This window comes from Homo sapiens, chromosome 17 (assembly GCF_000001405.40).
Source record: "Homo sapiens chromosome 17, GRCh38.p14 Primary Assembly".
Taxonomy (NCBI): domain Eukaryota; kingdom Metazoa; phylum Chordata; class Mammalia; order Primates; family Hominidae; genus Homo; species Homo sapiens.
This window is the reverse complement of record NC_000017.11, coordinates 59,491,376-59,512,464: the sequence shown is the minus strand read 5'-3', so window position 1 is coordinate 59,512,464 and position 21,089 is coordinate 59,491,376. Positions and strand designations below refer to the sequence as shown.

The 21,089-nt window shown below is 45.6% G+C and overlaps 3 long non-coding RNA genes across 3 annotated transcripts in view; 1 reads left to right on the top strand and 2 right to left on the bottom strand.

Moving 5' to 3' along the window:
* The window catches only part of LINC01476 (long intergenic non-protein coding RNA 1476), a 95,989-nt gene that overhangs the window by 14,393 nt on the left and 60,507 nt on the right, over window positions 1–21,089 (top strand). Inside the window, exon 2 of the long non-coding RNA NR_110813.1 lies at window positions 9,371–9,486. This is a non-coding gene — a long non-coding RNA (long intergenic non-protein coding RNA 1476). The remainder of the gene's footprint in view (window positions 1–9,370; window positions 9,487–21,089) is intronic.
* LOC105371845 (uncharacterized) lies at window positions 4,674–12,073 on the bottom strand. The gene is made up of 3 exons (XR_934887.2): window positions 12,036–12,073; window positions 10,985–11,092; window positions 4,674–5,748 (listed from the first exon to the last, which is right to left on the bottom strand). It is a non-coding gene; the product is annotated as an uncharacterized LOC105371845 (long non-coding RNA).
* The window catches only part of LOC124904040 (uncharacterized), a 58,770-nt gene continuing 50,703 nt past the window's right edge, over window positions 13,023–21,089 (bottom strand). The window contains exon 3 of the long non-coding RNA XR_007065867.1: window positions 13,023–13,346. This is a non-coding gene — a long non-coding RNA (uncharacterized LOC124904040). The remainder of the gene's footprint in view (window positions 13,347–21,089) is intronic.

The following is a 21,089-nucleotide window of genomic DNA, read 5'->3' as shown; positions in this document are numbered from 1 at the left end:
CTGTTTTCATAATTTTTTCATTCAATAAATTTTTTTTTTTTTGAGAGACAGAGTCTCGCTCTGTCACCCAGGCAGGAGTGCAGTGGCGCAATCTCGGCTCACCACTACCTCTGCCTCCCGGGTTCAAGCAATTCTCCTGACTCAGCTTCCCAAGTAGCTGGGACTACAGGCATGCGCCACCATGTCCAGCTAATTTTTGTATTTTTTAGTAGAGATGGGGTTTTACTATATATTGGCCAGGCTGGTCTCGAACTCCTGACCTCAAATGATCCATCTGCCCACCTCGGCCTCCCAAAGTGCTGGGATTACAGGTGTGAGTCACTGCGCTGGCCCATTCAATAATATTTAAGGAATATTTATTGAGCACTTATTATATGCCAGGTACTGTCCTAGACACTAGGAATGCAGTAGCAAATGAAATAGAATGTCACAGAGCTTACAGAGCTTACATAAGAATGGGAGGAGACAGAAAAAAAGCAAATGTCAACAGGTAGTATATAAATAAGATAGCAGTAAGTGTTAAAAGCTCCACATTGCTCAATCTAGTAATAAATTTCCTGTCCTCATTTTTCTTGTCCCAGAAATCAGCACCTAGTGCACCTGGTAGACAGCTGATCACTCCCTCCTTGATGCATTTTCTTCACTATATATAGCAGCAGCTACCCCAATGGCTATTCTTTCTCAGTCTGCCTTATTGGTTCCTCCTTATCTTCCTGACCTCTAAGCATGGAGTCCCAGGACTTGGCCCTCATATCTATTCTTTATCTATGCACATGTTTCATTCAGTCTTGCAGCTTTATTTTATTTTATTTTGTTTTGAGACAGAATCTTGCTCGGTCATCCAGGCTGAAGTACAGTGGCATGATCATAGTTCACTGTAACCTCAAACTCCTGGGCTCAAGTGATCCTCCTGCCTCAGCCTCCCAAAGCGCTGGCATTATGAGTGTGAGCCACTGCACTGGGTCTCATTCAGTCTCACAACTTTAAATACTATCATGCACTGATGAGTCCCAAATATATATCTCTATCCTAGTCCTCTCCTCTGAATGTCTGACTGTCAGACCTTGGCTATCTAATAGGTATCTAATAACTAATGAAAAAGAACCAGCCAGGCGTGGTGGCTAACACCTGTAATTCCAGCACTTTGGGAGGCCGAGGCAGGTGGATCACTTGAGGTCAGGAGTTCGAGACCTGCCTGGCCAACATGGTGAAACCCCGTCCCTACTCAAAATACAAAAAGTTAGCCGAGTGTGGTGGCATGTGCCTATAATCCCAGCTACTCGTGAGGCTGAGGCAGGAGAATCAATTGAACCCAGGAGGCGGAGGTTGCAGTGAGCCGAGATCATGCTACTGCACTCCAGCCTGGGCAACAGAGCGAGACTCTGTCAAAAAAAAAGAAAAAAGAAAAAGAAAGAGAGAGAGAGAGAGGGAGAAAAGAAAAGAAAAGAAAAGGAAAAAAAAGAAAAGAAAAAGGACCGAAACTTTATCCCAAACTTCCAGTTACTTAGGCCAAAAACTGTGGAATCATCCTTGACTCTTCACTTTCTTTCATCCCAAAATCCAATTTATCAGCAAATCCTGTTTATTCAGCCTTCAAAATATACCTCTTATCTGTCCACCACTCTTAATTTCCACTGCTACCACTCTGCCCTAGACACCATCTGTCATCCAGATCATTGCAATATTCTCCTCCCTGGATTCCTAGCTTCTGCCCTTGCCCCCTCCATTCAACAACCAAATTAATTCTTTTAAAATATGTTAGCACATGTCATTTAAAAAAAAAAACCTGCCCAATGGATTCTCATCTACGTTGAGTAAAACCATAAAGCTCCAATGGCTGTGAAGGGCTTGGATGGTTTGAACTTGTTACTTCTCTGACCTCATCTTCCACCCCACCTTCTTTCCCACTGCACTTTTAACACTCTGGGTTTTGTTTTGTTTTTGTTTTAGTTGAGGCAGGGTCTCACTCTGTTGCCCAGGGTGGAGTGCAGTGGTTCAATCGAGACTCAATGTAAGCTCCAACTCCTGAGCTCAAGCCATCCTCCCACCTCAGCCTCCCAAGTAGCTGGGACCACAGGTATATGCCAATGTCTCCAGCTAATTTTAAAATTTTCTGTAGAGACAGAATCTTGCCACATTGCCTGGGCTGGTCCTGAGTTCCTGGGCTCAAGTGATCCTCCTGCCTCAGCCTCACAAAGTGCTGGGATTACAGGTGTGAACCACCACGCCTGGCCACGTTTAACACTTTGGCCTCACTGTTCTGTAAGCATATACTCAACTCAGGGCCTTTGAATTTTTTGTTTCCTCTTGCTGGAACCCTGCTACCACTCATGGCTTACTCTCTCACATATTTTAGGTCTCTTCTGAAAGTCACCATATCTGTGAGATGTTCCCTGAGTCCCTTATAACACTTACTTCCCCTTGTCCAGCTTACAGAACTTGTCATAACTGATTCACAATATACACATTTACTTTTTCTCCTTTTCTTCTCACTAGAATGTCAGTTTCTTTTTTCTTTTTTCTTTTTTGAGATGGAGTCTCATTGTGTCGCTTAGGCTGTAGGGCAGTGGCATGATCTCGGCTCACTGCAACCTCCACCTCCCAGGTTCAAGTGATTCTCCTGCCTCAGCCTCCTGAGCAGCTGTGATTACAGGCCTGTGCCACCACGCTCAGCTAATTTTTGTATTTTTTTTTTTTTTTTTTTTAGTAAAGACGGGGTTTCACCATGTTGACCAGGCTGGTCTCGAACTCCCGACCTCAGGTGATTTGCCCACCTCAGCCTCGCAAAGTGCTGGGATGACAGGCGTGAGCCCCCACGCCCGGCCGAGAATGTCAGTTTCAAATGCAAATCCAGGCCCACAGGGAGTTGTATGTCTTGTTGACTGCTGTTTTCCTACACTTGGACCATACCTAGCACACTGAAGGTATTCAATATTGACTGACTGAATGATTCACTGCTAGGAGTTAGTTTCAGGTAATAGAAATCCCAGCTGAAACTATTTAAAGCAGCAGTCCCCAGCCTTTTTGGCACCAGGGACCCGTTTTGTGGAAGACGATTTTTCCATGGACCGTGAAGGATGGTTTCTGGATGAAACTGTACTGTACTGTTGGCAGTACAGTACATCAAGCATTAGTTAGAGTCTCATCAGGAGCCTGCAACTTAGATCTTTTGCATACTCAGTTCACAATAGGGTTTGTGCTCCAGTGAGAATCTAATGCCGCTGCTGATCTAACAGGAGGCGGAGCTCAGGTGGCAATGCTCGCTCCTGTTTGCTTGCCACTCACCTCCTGCTGTGCAGCCCTGTTCCTAACAGGCTGTGGACTGGTCCATGGCCTAGAGGTTGAGGACACCTGATTTTTTTTTTTTTTTTTTTTTGAGACAAAATCTCACTCTGTTGCCCAGGCTGGAGTGCAATGGCATAATCTCGGCTCTTGCAAGTCTGCCTCCCAGGTTCAAGCAATTCTCCTGTCTCAGCCTCCCGAGTAGCTGAGATTACAGGCATGCACTACCACACCTGGCTAATTTTGTATTTTGAGTAGAGATGGGGTTTCTCCCTGTTGGTCAGGCTGGCCTCAAATTCCCGACCTCAGATGATCCGCCCGCCTTGGCCTCCCAAAGTGCTGGGATTACAGGTGTGAGCCACCACACCCGGCCAAGGACATCTGATTTAAAGGAAGAAAAGGGAATTTATTGGCTTGCAGAACTATCAAAGAACAAACTTGCAACAAAAAAGTTTAAAGATCCAATTGGCTTTTGTTGGTAATTCATGAATTGGGCAGCGTTTCTTCTATGAAATACAAAGGCACCCTGAGGAGCTGAGCAGAGGAGCTGGGCTTTACAGGCAGAAGAGGCAGAAGAAAGCAGAAATAAGGAACAAAAAGCAGTTTGGTTGTTTCAAAGTCCCTTTTCTTATAGAATTAAAGCAGAAGGGACTTCCTTATCATGCCAGCTCAGGTTGATGGGGCCTCTTTGGATTGGTTGCTGTGAATCTTCCTTTTTTTTTTTTTTTGGAAAACTGATCCACTTCTAAGTTCAGTTTGACTACGTAACAGCTAGCATGAGTGACTCCATTCTGGTTTGGTCTGATCTGTTGGGGCCCAGCGCAGGAGCTCAGTCCAAACCAATGGCATCCCCATAAGTTTTACTTAACAGAACTAAAAGCCAAGGGATATACAGGCTTCAGGTATATCTGGAATCAGGGGCTCAAATGATGTTATCAGGACCACTGCTCTCCTGATGTCTCTGTTTTTCCTGCCTCTGTTCTGGCTTTATTCTGAGGCTTACTTTCATTTTATGGGAGGAAGATTGTGACCAGTAGTGGCAGGTTTATGACCTTATAGCTCCAGGCAGAAAAAGAAAAAGCTTTTCATTGCCATCAATATAAAGTTAAGTCTAAGCTGGGCTTGGTGGCTCACACCTGTAATCCCAACACTTTGGGAGACTAATGCAGGTGGATCACTCAAGCCCAGGAGTTTGAGACCAGCCTGGGCAACATGGCGAAACTCTGTCTCTACACAAATTAGCTGGGTAGAGGGGCATGCAACTGTAGTCCTAGCTACTCAGGAGGCTGAGGCGAGAGGATCAATTGAGCCTGGCAGGTCCAGGCTGCAGTGAGCCGTGGTCACACCACTGTACTCCAGCCTGGGTGACAGAGCCAAGACCTTGTCTCAAAAATAAAATAAGTTAAGGCCTGACATGAATTGGCCTGGATTGTAACATGTCTCCTTTCCCCAAAACCCATCACTGTGGCTGGGAATGCCATGATCTAATTATCCAGGTGCCAAGCACATACCCCCTCCTGGAGCTGAGGGTGGAGCCAACACCGCAGAATTCCATGGATGAAAACCATGATGCTGCCGTTGACTAAAGGCAACTTTAGTCAACTGATAGATGCTGAGTCAACCAATAATGATTGTCCGTTAGATCACCTATTGCTCACATTAGGCAGTCTCTAGTCTCTAAAGTAGCCACACAGCAAAATCGCAGTGGTAGCAAAATCATAGGAGAGCCCAGCCTAACTGCTGGAATGGGAATCCACAGGAAAATTGCAGCCTGGCTTTGCTTAAACGGGTCAGCCACAGTGCATTTTCAGTGTTGGCAGTACAGTCTAAGGATGTGACAAGATCCTCACAAGGTGACTCACAGCCACATGACATTTCTAAATGTGAGGAGAAAAGCGGAATATCCCGGTTGTGGCCAACAACTTATTGCCACTTTGAGGATAAAATAATTCCCAGCTTTGGTTTCCTCCTCAGGAAACTGCAACTGGTAAAACCTACCTTGTGAGTTATTGCAAAGATTAAAGAGAGGATCATGAGAAAATAGTGTTACAGTGCCTGGAAGAGAGCAGTCATCTGATAATAGTTTCCTTTCCCTGGACTTAAATACTCTGCTCTATTTTAATGTAATGTATGCGAGTCATGTGTTTATGACATGCTAAACAGGCAACAGTTATAGGGCACTGACGAACTGTTGGCCAATGGTCTAAGCACTTTACATTCAATAATCCATTTAATTTTTGGTCCCTCCCCACAAGTCTTTGGGGAAGAAAACATTATCCCCATTTTAGGAGATGAGGTGCTGAAAGGTTGAATAACTCACCCACGGTCTTACAGCTAGTTCGTGGCAGAAACTTATTTCAAATGCAGGCATTCTGACTGTAGGGCAGATGCTCGAAACCAGGACAGCATACAGCCTCTTCCTGAGAACATCTATTTCTTCCACTCTGAGCTGTTGTCTTATGTCTCCTGTCAAAGGATGCCACACAAACCAGCACTTAATAAATGCGTGGAAATATGATGGGGTGACAGACATGGAGCCTTTTCTGTCTCCTGCCAAGAAAGAATTCGAAGTTCAGCTTTTGGCCATTGTCTCCTTGGGTAGTCACTAGCCAATGACAGCACAGCAAGAATGCTAGGGCCTAGCCATTTCTGTTCAACACAGGACTCCTCCAATGGGCAATCTTTGCCATAGAGCTCCCTGTTGGGTTGGCAGAGACTTTATAATATCTGCTCACTATTCTAACACTCTCCTTGCACAATCCGGCCTCCTCTCTTTTATCCTTCACAGACATTACTCCCTCTCCCAAGGAATCACCTGCATTCCTAACTCCTTCTCAGCATCTGCTTTAAGGAGTGGTGATAAGAGAGGGTTTGGGGACTGGACCACTCACCACTTAGCCTGCAAGGACCCCATCCAGGGTGGTATGTGGGACGTGAAGAGTTTGTGGCACAAGGTGGCAGCCCAGTTGGTAAAACTTTCACTGGAGGGGACTCGGGAGAATGTTTCAATGAAGGGAAATGCCTTGGCTGATGCAACAATTTGGACTTTTGTACAGGGTTGAGGGTGAGGGGAGCATGGGAACAATGCATACAAGGACAGTGAGTTGGTTGGTTATTATGAAGTTGCACTGATGCTCAATGAAGGTGGGATGTGAGGATAATGAAAAGCCAAGATCATTAACAAACAATTGAAAACTACATATGAAGGCCAGAGGGTCTCTTTGGAAGTTTACAAAGAGGCCCTTAGTCCTGCAGTGGAAGGATAGAAAAAGCTAAAGGCCAAACTCCAGAATTAGCAATTAAGAGTTGCAGAGCTTCAAACCTGATTGATGCTCAGCTGAGTCAGTCTGTTATGCAATGATCAGGGCCCTGGTATGTAAAACCTGGAACCTGACACATGGGATGGAGCCGCCTGGCTGCATACCTCTAACCGGTTTGATTCCCTGGATTCCTCTGAATCTTCAGAGGCTGCAGAGTTGCTCCTCCTGCTTCCCTCTCCCAGTAAGAGCTTGCATTCCCCAGTGTGAAAAGATACTGTAGAAGCCTCAACCTCACAGGACAACAGGAGTCCCCTTCAACATATGCCTCATTTTCTCTCCCAGCTGTAGGTGAACAACTATGTTAAATTGCAGCCTAATGTAGGTGGGATTGGTAGCAAGGAAGGGATTATACTCAAGTGGAGCTTCAAGCATAAACTGGAACATACCTGAAGGAGTCAGAGTACTTGTGGGACTGGATTTTGAGGGTGCCTGATGAAGGGGCCAGGACATAACATTGGCTGAAGGAAAGTTTGTTAAAATCTCATACGCCTACTCTCCCAGGATATGGGATTTAACATCCTGGCAAGGGCCCTGGGGGGATGGTGCAGACCTACTGCTAGGGTGGCTCTTAGAAGCATGGAGAAAGCAATGGTCCATGCTGAGCAAAGTTATCATATCAATATTGCCCTGGCAGATGGTAGAGGAAGGAATAAAGATGCAGAGGGAAGTGGACATGTTGGAATAGATATCTTCTGTGAGGCCAGAAGACCCCCAGAGGATTATGCGACACATAGGCCCAGAGCTTATGCTTCACTTGCCAAGGACATGAGGAATACTCCAGGGAGGGGATGCCAGCATCAGGGAGAAGTTCAGTGCTGGCGAGGGCTGTGGGTAGGAGATGCTGTCACAGAGCTTGGCTCATGGATAGCAATGAGCATGGTGGGCTCCTGAAGCAAGAGGCCAGGGGCGGCACTTAACCACTAGAAGCCAGAGCGTTGTAATTATAGTAATGACCAGCAAAACAGAATGGCAGCCAAGGGAGCTTGATCCAAAGAAAGTTGTGGAGATAGTTCACAGAATATGGTGTCCCAAAGGACAAAGTCAATGACCAGCCAATGGAGATGTTGCTTAATATGCACCATCAAAAGAAAGCAAGAATGAGGCTGGGCACGGTGGTTCACGCCTGTAATCCCAGCACTTTGGGAGGCCAAGGCGGGCGGATCGCCTGAGGTCAGGAGTTCGAGACCAGCCTGGCCAACATGGTGAAACCCTGTCTCTACTAAAAATACAAAAATTAGCCAGGCGTGGTAGCGGGCACCTGTAATCACAGCTACTCGGGAGGCTGAGGCAGGAGAATTGCTTGAGCCCGGGAGGAGGAGGTTGCAGTGAGCCAAGATCGTGCCACTGTACTCCAGCCTGGGCGACAGAGTGAGACTCTGTCTCAAAAATAATAATAATAATAATAATTAAAAATAAAAAAATTAAAAGAAAGCAAGAATGGAGGAGCAGGAGGCTGCAAGAGGTTGCCCTAATGAAACGTCATGGTTGGGGAAACAGCAAGAGTTCCATTTGAACTATAAAATATGGCTCCTGCCCCAGCATTTTGAATTCTTCGTGTCCATGAACCAGCAGGTAAGAAGAGTTGCCATCTTGGCAAGGGTAATTGCCCCTGATTAGCAGGAGGAGTTTGGGCTGCTGTTACAAGTGGGGGCAATGAAGAATATGTGGAGAACTCAGGCAGTCCAGTTGGGTGCTTTATGATACTCCCTGGCCCAACTGAGAACATACATGGATGAGTACAGCAACCCCAGCTTGAGATAAGTATGGTTACCAGTGGCTTCATTCAGAAATGAAAGTTGTGTCACACCACCAGCAAGTTACTGAGACCACTAGAGATGATAACTGAGGGAGAGTCAATTTTGAATGGATAGTGGAGAAGGGAGAGGATAAGTATCAGTTGCAATCCCAAGACCAACTGCAGTGACAAGGGCTATAGTTCATCCCACTGATCTGCCTCTTTTAAGTGTCTCTGCAAGAGAGGCACACTGGAACCCTGGAGTAGCTGTTCCCTAAATGGGAGGGGAGCTGCATGGTGCATGGGGTGAACTGTGGCAGTTGTGAAGACACACCACTTGGCTCTCCATTCGAGAAAGAACTTCCATTCAGCTGCAAGGAGAGTGGTTAGTTGACAGCCTCCAGCTGCAGCAGCTTCACACCACCTCAGTTTTCAAGCTAAGGCCACACTCTTCCTGAACGGTCTCCAGATAATAACTGAACATAGTGGAAGTACTAGGGGCTGGCTATTTCTGGCCAATGTGGATATCTTCCAATCGGCAATCTTTGCTCTGGAGTTTCCCATTGAGTTGGCCAAAACTGTCAGGTGTGCATTGCATTCTGAGGTGCTCCTGTTCAATCCTGTTTCTTCACCACTATTTTTTTTTTTTTTAAACAGAGTTTTATTTTTGTTGCCCAGGCTGGAGTGCAATGGCATGATCTCAGCTCATCGCAACCTCTGCCTCCCGGGTTCAAGCGATTCTCCTTCCTCAGCCTTCTGAGTAGCTGGGATTACAGGCATGTGCCACCATACCTGGCTAATTTTGTATTTTTAGTACAGATGGGGTTTCTCCATATTGGTCAGCCTGGTCTCGAACTCCCAACCTCAAGTGATCTGCCCACCTCAGCCTCCCAAAGTGTTGGGATTACAGGCATGAGCCACCGCGCCCAGCCTCTTCCACACTTTTTTTTTTTTTTCACAAGTGTCAGATTAATATAATGGCCTAAAGGCTTTATCTGTCCAAGCTGCTGATTCTCCCTTTTTTCTTTAACAGGCATTTCACCTGAATCAACTGTTTGTGTTCTTAACTCCATCTCCTCATCTGCTTCCTGGAAGACCCAACTGACATAGATGGTTACAAGAAATGATTTCCTCCTTATAAAACTCTAGGTAAATAAACTCTCTGAGCTTCAGCTTTCTCCCTGTAGAAGGAGCATATTAACTCTCTCACTGGGTATTTGGGAGGCTTAAATATATACATTTTAGATTTTTATGAGAATTAAATAAGGCAATGCATGTAAGATGTTTTGCAAACAACCTTGCACATAGTAAATGCAATAACTTATTCAAATGGAAGAGATAAAGCCAACCATGTGTGGAAACGTATTAGCTTTCTTCACTCCTGATGGATATGGCCATTTGCCTGGCACTGGAGAAGTGTTATTTTTTTTCCCCATTGCTATTAACATCTTTACCTTCAGTGAGAAGTATTGGTTATGCCAAACCAAGAAGATGAGAATAGACCTTAAGTACAAGTGATTGTAGTGGTTTTTAGAAATACATATATATAATATTTAGAACATATATATACATATATATTTTTTTTGAGATAGGGTCTTGCTCTGTCTCCCAGGCTGGATGGAGTGCAGAGGCACGACCACAGCTCACCGCAGCCACAAGCTACCAGGCTCAAGTGATCCTCTGAGGTTAGCCTCCCAAGTAGCTGGGACTACAAGTGCATGCTACCACACCCAACTAGTTTTTAAATTTTTTGTAAAGACAGGGTCTTGCCATGTTGCCAGGGCTGGTCTTGAACTCCTGGGCTCAAGTGATCCTCCTACTACGGCCTCCCAAAGTGCTGGGATTACAGGCATGAGCCACTGTGCTCGATTATATATTTTTAAGTGATATAATAATGACAATGAAAATTTGAGATGAAAATTGAATTGTGATTATATAACCAAATGATTTAAATCTACAATGTTTAAACAGGAAGAACACTATACATTTTCCATATCTGAAAACTCTATTACAAGATTGGGTAATTTATTCTTCTGCAATGAATTTTGATGTAGTATTCACGAGTCCATAACCAAGATATATTTTAGTTTTCAATAATATGTGGTTTCCTTTTTAAATCAAAACTTTTCATTTGATTTCATTCTCATGTATAAAAATGTACACATCACTTTTGGCTAAGTTTTTGGCAAAGCTAGAAAGTGGAATACCATTAGGAACTTTATCCAAATGCTTAGAAGAGCATAGCTCAGCAAAAAAAAATTTACCCATCTAGAGGCTATAAACTGCCTATGGTAAGCTTTGTGCTGAGTTTAAGTCACATCTGAAGTAAATTTATGGTACAGGTATTTATTAAAGTATTTATTACTGCCTCTAGCAAGTCCTTCAGCTAGTGGAATTTTAAGACATGTAACCTGGAGTACTGACTTAATTATATTCTGTATTTGATTTTAATGGAGAAACTAATCATTACAGTGCATGAAACCATAAGATAGAAATAACCATCCTTTAGGAGACAGGCTAAGCTTTTTATGTTTAATTTGGTAATTTTCTGACAGCCACACCATTTTCTGCACCTGTTGTTTTAAAAATTAATTTGGAAGAAATTTCCTTATTGTAGGTGGACAATTTGAAAATGAAAAATTCTTACCCTGTGAATTTCTCATCCAGAGCACTTTCTTTAACTTTTCCACCAAGGACGTCCCCCTCCCTTCAACTCAAATTAATGAATGAACAAGTTTGAATGCACACGCTCTTCCTGGGGAAAAAAAAAATTTTTTTTTGTTATCTCTGTTGGTTTTGCCAGTTAGAATGAGAAGACTGCTTTTTCTGTTTCTTAGAATATTATCCTAAATTTCTGTTTCAACCACTGTCCTAATAACCTCCCTGAATGATCAGTTGGATATAAAATCATAAAGACACGCCGGGTTTGGAATAATCACATTTCCCCCACCCTTCTACTTTATTTTATTTTTTTTTTTTTTATTGATCATTCTTGGGTGTTTCTCACAGAGGGGGATTTGGCAGGGTCATAGGACAATAGTGGAGGGAAGGTCAGCAGATAAACAAGTGAACAAAGGTCTCTGGTTTTCCTAGGCAGAGGACCCTGCGGCCTTCCGCAGCGTTTGTGTCCCTGGGTACTTGAGATTAGGGAGTGGTGATGACTCTTAATGAGCATGCTGCCTTCAAGCATCTGTTTAACAAAGCACATCTTGCACCGCCCTTAATCCATTTAACTCTGAGTGGACACAGCACATGTTTCAGAGAGCACAGGGTTGGGGGTAATGTCATAGATCAACAGGATCCCAAGGCAGAAGAATTTTTCTTAGTACAGAACAAAATGAAAAGTCTCCCATGTCTACTTCTTTCTACACAGACACGGCAACCATCCGATTTCTCAATCTTTTCCCCACCTTTCCCCCCTTTCTATTCCACAAAGCCGCCATTGTCATCCTGGCCCGTTCTCAATGAGCTGTTGGGCACACCTCCCAGACGGGGTGGTGGCCGGGCAGAGGGGCTCCTCACTTCCCAGTAGGGGCGGCCAGGCAGAGGCAACCCTCACCTCCCGGATGGGGCGGCTGGCCGGGCGGGGGGCTGACCCCCCCACCTCCCTCCCGGACAGGGCGGCTGGCCTGGCGGGGGCTGACCCCCCCCCATCTCCCTCCCGGACGGGGTGGCTGCCGGGCGGAGAGGCTCCTCACTTCTCATACGGGGCGGCTGCCGGGCGGAGGGTCTTCTCACTTCTCAGACGGGGCGGCCGGGCAGAGACGCTCCTCACCTCCCAGACGGGGTGGCGGCCGGGCAGAGACGCTCCTCACCTCCCAGACGGGGTCGCAGCTGGGCAGTGGTGCTCCTCACATCCCAGACGGGGCGGCGGGGCAGAGGCGCTCCCCACATCTCAGACGATGGGCGGCCGGGCAGAGACGATCCTCACTTCCTAGATGGGATGGCGGCCAGGCAGAGACGCTCCTCACTTTCCAGACTGGGCAGCCAGGCAGAGGGGCTCCTCACATCCCAGACAGGGCGGCGGGGCAGAGGCGCTCCCCACATCCCAGACGATGGGCGGCCGGGCAGAGACGCTCCTCACTTCCTAGATGTGATGGCGGCCGGGAAGAGGCGCTCCTCACTTCCCAGATGGGATGGCGGCCGGGCAGAGACGCTCCTCACTTTTCAGACTGGGCAGCCAGGCAGAGGGGCTCCTCACATCCCAGACGATGGGCGGCCAGGCAGAGAGGCTCCTCACTTCCCAGACGGGGTGGCGGCCGGGCAGAGGCTGCAATCTCGGCACTTCGGGAGGCCAAGGCAGGCGGATGGGAGGTGGAGGTTGTAGCGAGCCGAGATCACGCCACTGCACTCCAGCCTGGGCGCCATTGAGCACTGAGTGAACCAGACTCGGTCTGCAATCCCGGCACCTCGGGAGGCCGAGGCTGGCGGATCACTCGCGGTTAGGAGCTGGAGACCAGCCCGGCCAACACAGCGAAACCCCGTCTCCACCAAATAAATACGAAAACCAGTCAGGCGTGGCGGCGCGTGCCTGCAATTGCAGGCACTCCGCAGGCTGAGGCAGGAGAATCAGGCAGGGAGGTTGCAGTGAGCCGAGATGGCAGCAGTATCGTCCAGCCTCGGCTCGGCATGAGAGGGAGACCATGGGGAGAGGGAGACCATGGGGAGAGGGAGAGGGAGCACCCTTCTACTTTAAAAAGACGTTAAACCTTAACATCATATAATCCATATATTCCATACCTAGTCATTAGTTGCTATTTCACAAAAGTAAAGTCACCAACATGTCACTTATGTAATATTTATTTCTGTTCCACTGCCCCTGCCTGCAACTGTTTAGAAGCTCTTCCTATCCCTGTCCTTGCTTCCAACATTGCACACATTTTCTTCTCGTGCTTAAAAATAAATGTCAAGTTCTTGATCTTTTGTTAAAGATTCATTGCCAAAGATGGTTTCACAGCAGGAGCCTTCCTAGGGAGAGAGTTGGCTCACATTCCTGCTAAGAATGTAACCTGGGAATGATGGAAAAATAATTATAATCAATGTCAGAGAGCATATGGGTTTCTACCGAGAAGGCTGCCAAGTAGGACCTGCACTAATCCTTTCCATCCATTATCAGCCAGTTGACTCTAGCAGAAAAATTCCTCATATTTGGATAAATGAAAGTCCAAATCTCACACATATTTCTCCCACATCTGAGAGGTTTCTGAGTGAAACCAGTGAATGCCTTGCATTTCTGAAGCTTAGTTTCCATAAAACTACATTATTGTTTGTTTTCTTGTCTGTAAATGTGGGATTGCCTTATTTCTACCACATCCTTTAATGTAGGTGACCCACTAAGGTCAGTACACACATAGTGAAAGAAATGAGGCCATTCTAATATGTACATTGAAAAGAACCACATTTTAAAAGCTTTGTGCTGATGTGTGTTTCGGCTGGATATACCCCAACAGTATGTGTCGTTTTCTAAAAGAGGAATTATGCTGAGTTAATTAAGTGGAAGCAGAAACACCTGGTGCATATCATTATGGCATAAGGCCCTGGGTGATTTAATTAATATCTTTATTGTTACCAAGTGGCTTTCCAAGTATTTTTCCACTGAACTTATATTTTACTTTGCCCTCCACCCTGCTTCTCTTCAGATATATGCCAGGTGGTATATAGTTCCTTTTTTTTTTTTTGAGACAGTCTAGCTCTGTTGGCCGGGCTGGAGTGCAGTGGTGTGATCTCAGCTCACTGCAACTCCTGCCTCTCGGGTTCAAGCGATTCTCGTGCCTCAGCCTCCCAAGTAGCTGGGATTACAGGCACATGCCACCAAGCCAAGCTAATTTTTGTATTTTTAGTACAGATGGGGTTTCACCATGTTGTCCAGGCTGGTCTCGAACTCCTGGCCTCAAGTGATCCACCCATCTTGGCCTCCCAAAGTACTGGGACTACGGGCGTGAGCCACCGTGGCTGGCCGGTATACAGTTCCTTTTAGGAGAGAATTTTGTCTCTGTAGAATCTCTGAATACAGGCAAACCAGACATGAATTTGAATTCTCCTTATAAGCTTCTGTGCTTAAAGGATTAGAGCAACTTGCCTCTTTTCTACATAGCAAAAAGATAAATTTCAGCCCGCCCTAAACCAACATTCTCTTATTTTCTAAGCATCAATAAATCAATAAACACAATAAATATGGCTTCTTGTTAAAAAAAAAACACAGAGTAGACAAAGCAGGGGCATTCTGATTTAGAATAGATGATTCTTCCAATATTTAGAACACCTCAAGCAAGGAGAAAAATGAACTGGAAATGAGGTTGCTGTTTGCTAGTATGGAGTTCCATTCGTAGATCTAGCACTCAACACAGATACAATAAATTGGGCAGCGGCCTCTCAGTCCTCTCTGCTCCAGTGGAAATATTCGGTATGGCTGTCCAGCTCTCAAGTCATATTCTAAAACAAAAACTTTAAAAGACGAATCATATATTGATATTGTGATGCCACTCAGCCATATAACTTGGCCCCAGATCCCACTGCTAGAGTTATAAAGATGAAATGATTTTTGGCTGGGAACAGTGGTCACACCTGTAATCCCAGCACTTTGGGAGGCTGAGGCAGGTGGATCACTTGAGTCCAGGAGTTTGAGACCAACCTGGGTAACATGGTGAAACCCTATATCTATTAAAAAAAAAAAAAAAAAGAGAGAGAGACTGGGCATGGTGGCTCAAATCTGTAATCCCAGCACTTTGGGAGGCTGAGGCAGGTGGATCACTTGAGCCCAGAAGTTTGAGACCAGCCTGGCCAACATGGTGAAACACCATCTCTACTAAAAATATAAAATTAGCTGGGTGTGGTGCTGTGTGCTTGTAGTCCCAGCTACTCGGGAGGCTGAGGCAGGAGAATGGCATGAACCTGGGAGGCGGAGCTTGCAGTGAGCAGAGATCGTGCCACTGCACTCCAGCCTGGGTGACAGAGTGAGACTCTGTCTCAAAAAAAATAATAATAATAAAGAAAGAAAATGAGGGATCTACCCCAATGCTGCATTATCAGCTTTCAGGAAGACTTGTATTTTACTTCTTATTCACCCGCCCTCCCACCTTACCAGCATATATCTATAAAACCTATGAAAACTTCAGGGTGACCAATATCCCTAAAATACACCTGGGTGCAATTCTGTATTTGTAGAGTAAAATGAGTCAGATATGGACATCCTCACACAGCAACTATTCAGAGGAGGATGAAAACCAGAACTCAAAGACTTAAAGCATTTTTAACTGAGAAAAAAAATTCTAGCTATATCTCTGCAACTGGTTTGACAGAACCTAGAAATCAAATTTGCCAAATACTGGTCCCATGTGTTTTGTGAGGATACTACGTATATCATCAAAAGGCTCCATAGTTCGTTTGGTGTGGTGGCCAAATAAGATTATAGAAGTTTTCTTTTTCTTGAGTAGGCAGTACTGTGCTTATTAATAATAAAAACACTTCACCCACTTGTTCAGTATAAAGGCAGGCTCTAACGCCCTAGTGAATTGTGTCGTCAAGTTTATTAGTAAGTTGATTATTTAGAAATCAAAATTCCATAAACCCAGTGGTATAAATGGTAGTTAAATTCCAAGCATAAATCCCAAATAGGATTGACTTCTAAGTCATGGGAGCAAAACCAAGGCTGAGTTCCAGCTGCTGGGAGTGAACACCTGTGCCGGTTCTTCTCCATTTATCATCTGCTCAGTGCTCTGGAAGGCCAGCTTCCTACAGACTGATTTGTTCACCTGGGCTCCCTTGCTGGCTGGCTTTCAGTTGGCTTCAGCCAAGAAGGGGCACAGACTAGAAACAGGAGATGGGAGAAGGTGGGGTATTTCTTCATCTGTTCCTCTCCTGCTTAGCTGCCAGCAACTGGCAATGGCTATGTCCCTTCAAGACTATATTTCTAGCTGGGAAGCCTCTTCCACAGCCCCAGCCCTTACTGGGCTCTGAGAATATGGTTCCTTCCCTTTGGCCCCCAGTCTTGGGGGTATAACAGCTCCTTGCTCTTGCTCCTCGCTGGTATCTGAACATCCTGTGTTGGTTTTCTTAACCCTGTCTATGCCTCAGAGAATAATCTCTTCATTACAGTTTCTTCATTTGTACCATCTAAGGAGAATTTCATTCATCAAGATCCTGACCAGCTGGGCGCAGTGGCTCACGCCTATAATTCCAGCACTTTGGGAAGCTGAGATGGGTGGATCACCTGAGATCAGGAGTTTGAGACCAGCCTGGCCAACATGGTGAAACCCCGACTCTATTAAAAATACAGAAATTAGCTGAGTGTGGTGGTTTAGGCCTGTAATCCCAGCTACTCGGGAAGCTGTGGCAGGAGAATCACTTGAACCTGGGAGGCGGAGGTTGCAGTGAGACGAGGTGGCACCACTGCACTCCAGCCTGGGTGACAGAGTGAGACTCCATCTAAAAAAAGAAACAAAACAAAACAAAACAAAACAAAACAAAAAAAGACCCTGACCAAGAGAGTGAAGGGGGAAGAAGAGGAAAAAAATATTTCATGTTTCTTTCCTGAGTGTAGGAATCCCTGGTGGAATTTCAGACATGATAATTCATGGATCTAACAGGTATTAATCATGTTCCTCTTATAAGCCATTCATAATGAATAAAGTAGGTCTAGTTCCTGCCCTCAACAATAAACACACACATGAATAACCAAAATAGGTACATGTTTTGGAAAATCTTACGTAGGAAATAAACAGGGTGCACTGATAGAGTCACTCATGGGGGAGAGCAGTTTTGGATAGGGTGGTCAGGGAAGGCCTCTCTGAGGAGGTGACAGTTAACTGAGACCTCAAGGTTGAAAAGGAAACAGCCACCGTGCAAAGATCAGGCAAAGGGCAGGGAACATGTGTTCCAGGCAGAAGGAGCTGAAAGTGTAAAGGCTTGGAGGTGGGAAAAGAGCTTTGTGGGAAAACCAGGATGTATGGCAACTGTTTGACTTTGGAGGAAATTAAAGACATATTTGCAAGCCACATGGAGAGTGGAAGGAAGACAAATGCGACTGGAGGAAGGGCCAGGTGGAGAGTGGGAGAGACGAGGCTGGACAGGAGCTCAGAGAATGTAGGGCAGGCCCTGTAGGCCAGGGTGAAGATGACGGTTTTTATTCCAAGTGTAGTGGGAAGCCAAGAAGAGTTTTAAAGAGCCGAGTCATGCAATCTGGTTTATCTTTCTAAAAGATCGCACTTGCTGCTCTATGAAGAAGGACTTGGGGAGAAACAAGTAGAATCAGGGAGAACAGTCCGAGGGCGATTAAAATAATCCAGACGGAAGATGACTACGTTTTAGTCTGAAGTGATAGGAGTGGTGATGGAGAAAAGCAGACGTCTGCGAGTTTTATTTTGGAGATAGAGCCACAGGACTTGGTAAGGATTGGGCATGCGGGGAGGCAAGGGGAAGGGAAGAGTCAAGGAAGCCTCCCAGGTTGCTGGCTTGGGCCTCGGTCTGCAGGGTGAAGCTGTTTATGGAGAGGTGGAAGACTAGGGGAAGAATAAGGATGGAAAGATTTTTAAGATGAAGATGTCCACGAGACATCCAGGGGAAATATCAAGCCGGTAGATCGCTGCCTGAACCTGGAGCCCAGATGACAAGTTTGAGCTGGAGGATCTTTTTTCTAATCTCTTAGTGGTCAAGTAGGCATCTCGGGTCAACCCAGCTTATGCCAAAAGAGACCTCCACCAGGCCTGTATGGACCTGTTAAAACTCTATATGGGGCTTAGATGTGAAGCCCCACTTAGTAAAAAGCATCCCTATACCCTGCTTTGTCATAAGTGCACATATTTTCTTTGAAGAAAAGGATTGCTAGTCAAAAACAAGATTTGAGAATTCCTAGGTCCCTGACTTAATACCCTCATAATCTTGCCCTTAGAGTTCCAATTTTAACATGACTTAACGGTATATTTAAAGAGAAAGCCCCAGAGTCCAGTTGGAGTGACAGACAATATTGTCCTCATGGGGAGACATGGGCCCATAGTAAGAGATAAAGTTCCAAAGCTTTTCCTTCTGGTTGTCATGGCAACAGCAGCAAGCGCTCTAGAGGTGGGAAGGAGGACAAGGAGGAGAGAGGAGCAACCAGAAGCTATGGTGGCTGTTAGTCTGCAGAAAATAATTCAAGACAGATATTTGCAAGCTGCATGGAGCACACGCCCTGTACATCCAGGTTAGTTGTAAGTATACAGTTTGTAAGTGGACAATTTGTTCTTTTTAAGAACCAGAGATACACATAAAAGCTTTGTCAGACTAGGGGGCCAGGAGTACATCATGCATCTGTTTTTTTTTTTTTTTTTTTTTTTTTTTTTTGAGACGGAGTCTCGCTCTGTCGCCCAGGCCGGACTGCAGACTGCAGTGGCGCAATCTCGGCTCACTGCAAGCTCCGCTTCCCGGGTTCACGCCATTCTCCTGCCTCAGCCTCCCCAGTAGCTGGGACTACAGGCGCCCACCACCGCGCCCGGCTAATTTTTTGTATTTTTAGTAGAGACGGGGTTTCACCTTGTTAGCCAGGATGGTCTCGATCTCCTGACCTCATGATCCACCCGCCTCGGCCTCCCAAAGTGCTGGGATTACAGGCGTGAGCCACCGCGCCCGGCCCATGCATCTGTTTTATCCCTTGCACTGAGTGGACTGCCTGGGGCTCCATGTACTTGAATAAATGAGCAAATGAGGTCTCAAAAGAAGAGTCACTACCCTGCTTATTTCATATGGGTTCAAAAGTTGCCAGGTGGATAGAGCCTTTGGATAAAGATTTTAGTTTACATCAGAACCATATGCATATTGTGGTCAGTGATTACAGAGTGACAAGAAGTGAAAAGAAGGCTAGCCCCCAAGCCAAAAGCCCAAGTCGGTGGGAAGTGGGACGTAGGTCTCGTTCCCCAAGATAGAAGCTGAAAATTATTCACTAACCATGGATAGGATGTTATATAATTGTACACTTCCCATCAGGATCCAGTTTATGATAGTTTTAGACTACATTCTTTTTTTTTCTCTCTTTTTTTTTTTTTTTGAGACAGAATCTCGCTCTATTGCTCAGGCTGGAGTGCAGTGGGGTGATCTTGGCTCACTGCAACCTCTGCCTCCCGGGTTCAAGAGATTCTCCTACCTCAGCCTCCCGAGTAGCTGGGACTACAGGCGTGTGCCACCATGACCAGCTTTTTTTATTATTATTATTTTTAAATAGAGATGGGGTTTCACCATATTGGCCAGGCTGGTCTCAAACTCCTGGCCTCATGTGATCCTCCTGCCTTGGCCTCCCAAAGTGCTGGGATTACAGGCGTGAGCCACCACACCCGGCCTGGACTAGATTCTTGAGGTGATTAAATATCATCTGTAACTGGGAATGTAACAAAGGCTGTGGAAGTAAGGAAAGGTGATGGTGTGATAAAGAATACAGACAAAAGGGCATGGATTCCTGCCTACCCTAAAAACAAGGAGACTTGAGGAGTTAAACTTTGTTCAAGAGAGTTTAGTATATCTGATGCACACAAATATCCAGATATTTGAAAAGGAAAATCCCCAGTGCTGTGGACCCTTGGAGAGCCTATTAAAATATCCCTCAAGACCTTTCATCTGTCTTTGCTCTAATTCTGTACTCACCAAGCAATCAATATTTTCATCACTAATTCTGTTTCTTTATATGCTAAAAAGGATACCCTGAATAAAAAACACGCATATCTGATCATAGGAAAAGTACATTCCCCTCTCCAAATTGCACTGATAATAAAATTCAGACACCTTATCAAGGACTTCCAGCCCTCCTGATTGGCCTCTGATGACCTCTGTGATCTCAGCTGCTGTCCCTCTCCCCTGTGACACTAAGCTCTAGTCACCTGGACCTTCTTTCCATTCCTGCAATACCACAGACTTCCTGCTCAGTCTGCCCCTTCCAGTTTCACCTGCCAGCCCTGCTCTTCCCCAGATATTCCCATGCTTGGTTACCTCTTACCTGCCCATCAGATCTTAGTTCAAATGTCACCTCCTCAGAGAGATTGCTGTGCCCGTTGTTGCAACCTTTCCCCACTTTACCTCCCCTAATGGTCACTTTCTATCCCTTCGTCTGTTTTCTCTTTCACTAAATAATATCTTATTTGTATACTTGCTTATTATCTGATTCTCTCCATTGGAATACAAGTCCAATGCCACTGTAGCCTCAGCACTTAGCACAGACTCAAGACTCAACAAGTATTTGTGTAATGAATGGAATGTGGGAAAGAATAAAATACGAGCTGCTATAGATGAGAGAGAGGAGATACAAATAGGGAGCACAGACGAGGTAAACAGAACACACACACTGTGATTTTTACAACACACCACTCATTGCAAATACAGCTCATGCATATAGCTTGTCTGTCTGTGTATGTCCCTTTACCCCTACTCTACTTTATTATTATTATTCTTTTAATAGAGACAAGGTCTCACTCTGCCAACCAGGCTTGAGTGCAATGACATGATCATAGCTCACTGCAGCCTCAAACCCCTGGGCTCAAAGGATCCTCCTGCCTTGGCCTCCCAAGTAGCTGGGACTTCCAACGTGCACCACCATGCCTGACTAGTTTTTAAATTTTTTGTTGAGATGGGGTCTCACTATGTTGCCCAGGCTGGTCTCAAATGCCTGGCCTCAAGTGATCCTCCCATCTCAGCCTCCCAAAATGTTGGGATTACCGTGAGCCACTGTACCTGGCTCTACTTCACTTTAGACTGTGAACAACTTGAGGACAAGGACCATCTTGTTCATGTTGGCA